Consider the following 5,369-nt stretch of genomic DNA (forward strand, 5'->3'; position numbering starts at 1 on the left):
TTTTTATGGCTGCATAGTATTCCATGGTGTATATGTGCCACATTTTCTTAATCCAGTCTATCATTGATGGACATTTGGGTTGGTTCCAAGTCTTTGCTATTGTGAATAGTGCCCCAATAAACATACGTGTGCATGTGCCTTTATAGCAGCATGATTTATAATCCTTTGGGTATATACCCAGTAATGGGATGGCTGGGTCAAATGGTATTTCTAGTTCTAGATCCCTGAGGAATCGCCACACTGACTTCCACAATGGTTGAACTAGTTTACAGTCCCACCAACAGTGTAAAAGTGTTCCTATTCCTCCACATCCTCTCCAGCACCTGTGGTTTCCTGACTTTTTAATGATCACCATTCTAACTGGTGTGAGATGGTATCTCATTGTGGTTTTGATTTGCATTTCTCTGATGGCCAGTGATGATGAGCATTTTTTCATGTGTCTGTTGGCTGCATAAATGTCTTCTTTTGAGAAGTGTCTGTTCATATCCTTCACCCACTTGTTGATGGGGTTGTTTTTTTCTTGTAAATTTGTTTGAGTTCTTTGTAGATTCTGGATACTGGATATTAGCCCTTTGTCAGATGAGTAGATTGCAAAAATTTTCTCCTATTCTGTAGGTTGCCTGTGTAAATCTGTAAATGTAATCCAGCATATAAACAGAATGAAAGATAAAAACCACGTGATTATCTCAATAGATGCACAAAAGGCCTTCGACAAAATTCAACAGTGCTTCATGCTAAAAAATCTCAATAAATTAGGTATTGATGGGACGTATCTCAAAATAATAAGAGCTATTTATGACAAACCCACAGCCAATATCATACTGAATGGGCAAAAACTGGAAGCATTCTCTTTGAAAACAGGCACAAGACAGGGATGCCCTCTCTCACCACTTCTATTCAACATAGTGTTGGAAGTTCTGGCCATGGCAGTCAGACAGGAGAAAGAAATAAAGGGTATTCAATTAGGAAAAGAGGAAGTCAAATTGTCCCTGTTTGCAGATGACATGATTGTATATCTAGAAAACCCCATCATCTCAGCCCAAAATCTCCTTAAGCTGGTAGGCAACTTCAGCAAAGTCTCAGGATACAAAATCAATGTGCAAAAATCACAAGCATTCTTATACACCAATAACAGACAAACAGAGAGCCAAATCATGAGTGGATTCCCATTCACAATTGCTTCAAAGAGAATAAAATACCTAGGAATCCAACTTACAAGGGATGTGAAGGACCTCTTCAAGGAGAACTACAAACCACTGCTCAATGAAATAAAAGAGGATACAAACAAATGGAAGAACATTCCATGCTCATGGATAGGAAGAATCATTATCATGAAAATGGCCATACTGCCCAAGGTAATTTATAGATTCAATGCCATCCCCATCAAGCTACCAATGACTTTCTTCACAGAATTGGAAAAAACTGCTTAAAGTTCATATGGAACCAAAAAAGAGCCCACATTTCCAAGACAATCCTAAGCCAAAAGAACAAAGCTGGAGACATCACGCTACCTGACTTCAAACTATACTACAAGGCTACAGTAACCAAAACAGCATGGTACTGGTACCAAAACAGAGATATAGATCAATGGAACAGAACAGAGCCCTCAGAAATAATACTATACATCTACAAGTATCTGATCTTTGACAAACCTGACAAAAACAAGAAATGGGGAAATGATTCCCTATTTAATGGTGCTGGGAAAACTGGCTAGTCATATGTAGAAAGCTGAAGCTGGATCCCTTCCTTACACCTTATACAAAAATTAATTCAAGATGGATTAAAGACTTAAATGTTAGACCTAAAAACCACAAAAACCCTAGGAGAAAACCTAGGCAATACCATTCAGGACATAGGCATGGGCAAGGACTTCATGTCTAAAACACCAAAAGCAATGGCAACAAAAGCCAAAATTGACAAATGGAATCTAATTAAACTAAGGAGCTTCTGCACAGCAAAAGAAACTACCATCAGAGTAAACCTCTTTTCTTTATAAATTACCCAGTCTCAGGTATTTCTTTATAGCAATGCAAGAATGGCCTAATACAGCCACTTATCACCTAACTTTGGTCAAATTACTGAAGTTTTCTAACCCTCAATATGTCTAGAATATAAGTACAATATCAGGATCTATCCCATAGGTAAGGTTTGTTGTTCAGAAGCATGATGGTGGGGGGAAAACATGCCAGAGAAGGACTATGGAACCATGAGTCAGAAGACTTGGTGCACTGTCCTGGCTTTGCCAAGGATAAGCTCTGTGACTTGTGGGAGTCACTTAACCTTCTTGCAACTCATTCCTCCCTTTTCTAAAATGTCCTTCGTAACACTGGCCCTGCCTATTAGCATCCAGGTGCTGCTACGGGGATCAGATGCAAGCACATGGCTTTCATATTCATGCACCTCTCTCTGAGTTTTTAATGCACCTCTGCTGCAGGCCTAGGCAAACACTTGGTGCTCAATAAAAGCCTATGGACTAAATTGCACCTGTGCTTTCTGAGTGAAAGATTAGGAACTGCGGGCTCAGAAGGGAAGAGGCTGATCAGGTGAGGTTTATGATTTGGCAGGCTATCTGGGGGGATAAAGTCCATGGAAAGCAAAAAGTATGTGTTTGAGCTGCAGGAGACAGATCTGGGATATAGGAAAGGATTTGGGTGTTACCTGTTGTGAAAGACCTGGAAGACCCAAAGTGATGAAAAAAGCAGATCTCTGGGCTCCGGAAGGTACTTAGTGGTTGTCTCTGTGGTGCTGATGAAAGGAGTTTCCTGGAGAGGTAGGTAAAGAAAGACCTAAAATACTGAGTTCAAGTGGACTGATGGGCTGGAATGGGGCAAGCAGCCAGGGGGAGAGAAGGTGGGCATAGACCCGGCCAGGGGTGGTTTTTCAGCAGAGGAGTTGTCAACAGAAACTCAATGCTGCAGTGTTTAGGGAAAACAAGGCAAATAAGGAAATTGTCAGAAGACAGAATACAGAGCCCTGCAGTCAATTTCCGTCACCTCTTTTTAATTCTCCAATTTCACTCCTCTTTCAGACTCAGTTCAAGACCAAGTTCAAATTCAATCTCCTCCAGAAAGCCTTCCCTCATCTCTAAAACTCCAAGGAATCTGTCCCTTTCTAAAGTTTCCGAAGGAATGTTGGTCTGTACAAATCATCTAGGAATTACCAATATAAAAATATAACTTCTGAACAACTGATCTATTATTGTCCTAAAATAAAGTTATTTAACATTTCACAGGTAAAATATGTTGTATTCCTCATTCAGCCACCTAACATCTCCCTGGAACACATACAAGGGTTGCATAAAAGGGAATTCTAGCTCCTGTCACTTTTGCCTTCTGACTCCTGAGCTTTGTAAGTTGCCCCTCCCTCCACTCTCAGTCTTACTTACAGGTCTGAAATAATGTTCAGCATCTTTTCTCTGGCAATGACTTTGCCTCCTCTTTTGTTCTGCCTCAGTTTCCTCATTGGTAGACTGCAGCCCTTATACCACTTCATGGAAAGCTTTTCCACCAAGCTGCCTCGTGAAAGAAACCAAACATCTCTCATGAGACTGCATACTCTAAGGAGAGAATCGAGGTCAAGCTCTGTGCCTCGTCATCGCCTACCATGTGTACAGCAGAGCCCTCCACAAGCTGGCGCGTGATAAAGTTTGCTAAGTTTAATTTACCTTTAAAGAAAGTGGCAAAACTCCAGTGAAAGGAGCAGTGTGTGTGCAAATTGAGGCCAGAAATGAATTGCTAATTAGTTTCTCTCAGTTATAACAGTGGGTCTTGCACACTGAAGATATCTATCAAGTAAAATCTAGCAACCCAAGGCCAAAGAAATAAATGTTGAATCTCCAAACTGAACAAGTGGGTAGGACAGAGCTTGGTAAGTTACTGATGGTGAAAACAAATGTATAGTAGGCAGAGGTCCCTCCCTTAAATATTGGCCTCCCTTACACGATATAATACTGAATAGCTGCTACTCTCCTTGAACCTCTGACCTCAGTCTTCCATGATGAAAGACGTCTTAGTGCTCTGCTGTTTGCAGCAGGCCAGAAAGATCATTAATGGGAGGTAAACAGGAGTGACCAGGGCTGGCCATCACTTTGAGACCACCTTTCTATCTTCCCTTTGCCTATTCCAGATACTGCCATTGGAATGTTTTTAAAACAGAGGAATCCAACCCTGCTGAAGAGTCATTTTGCTTGGGTTCAGTTATGTCTTGGCTTACTCCATTCAAAGAGATTCATCTGTTTATCACACTGTGGATTGAGATGAAGGAACAGCCCCCAGGAACGAAAGGAAACACAGCATGGTGAATAATCTCCACCCTCAAAAGGCACAGTCATTCTGAAAAGCCACGTGCTCTGTTTACTTTCAGCCATCACTGTGCCCACATTCCCAGCCATAATATTCCACTTTCAAATATGTTCTTTTCCCATTCATACATATTTATCCCATATTAACCTCACGTATAAGTGCCAACTTCATACTTTCGTTCATTTTTATAACATTTATTAAATGCCTTATATGTGCCTGGCACAGTGCTAAATGCTTTCTCACAGGTTATATCATTGAGTCATCATATCAATGGCTACAAGGTGACTACTGCTATCTCCGTTTTACTACTGAGGAAACTAAAACACAGAGAAGTGAAGTCACTTACCTGAAGTTTCACAGCTAACAAATAATAAAGTTAGATTAGAATCCACATTTTCTAAAGCTAAGACCAGTTTTCATTGTACCATACTTGCCTTTAACAAGTGTATAGTTTTTAAGAATTAGTAATTATGCATAATAGTTATAAATTATGAATTCCAGGGCAGGGAAGATGTCTATGGTTTTATATATTACATTTATTAATCTATCTGTAATTATTTTAGAGTTTAGAGTACATATGAAATTTTGTAGTAATTTCCATTTGGCATTCTGCCAGTCATTCACTTGTCCTAGCAACATTCCTTTTTTATTTTTATTTATTTATTTATTTATTTATTTTTTGAGACAGAGTTTTGCTCTTGTCACCCAGGCTGGCGTGCAATGGCACAGCCTCGGCTCACTGCAACCTCTGTCTTCCAGGTTCAAGCGATTCTCCTGCCTCAGCCTCCCAAGTAGCTATATTACAGGTGCCACCACCACGCCCAGCTAATTTTTGTATTTTTAGTAGAGATGTGGTTTCACCATGTTGGCCGGGCTGGTCTCGAACTCCCGACCTCAGGTGATCTGCCCGCCTCCGCCTCTAAAAGTGCTGGGATTACAGGCATGAGCCACTGTGCCCGGCGTTTAGCAACATTTCTAACACTCTTTTTCTTTGAACATCTATGTCAAAATACTGTCCATGCCACCATCTCTTCTGCATCTCCTCCTCCACACATGTGAACACTACCT

Source organism: Homo sapiens, chromosome 2 (assembly GCF_000001405.40).
Source record: "Homo sapiens chromosome 2, GRCh38.p14 Primary Assembly".
Lineage (NCBI taxonomy): Eukaryota > Metazoa > Chordata > Mammalia > Primates > Hominidae > Homo > Homo sapiens.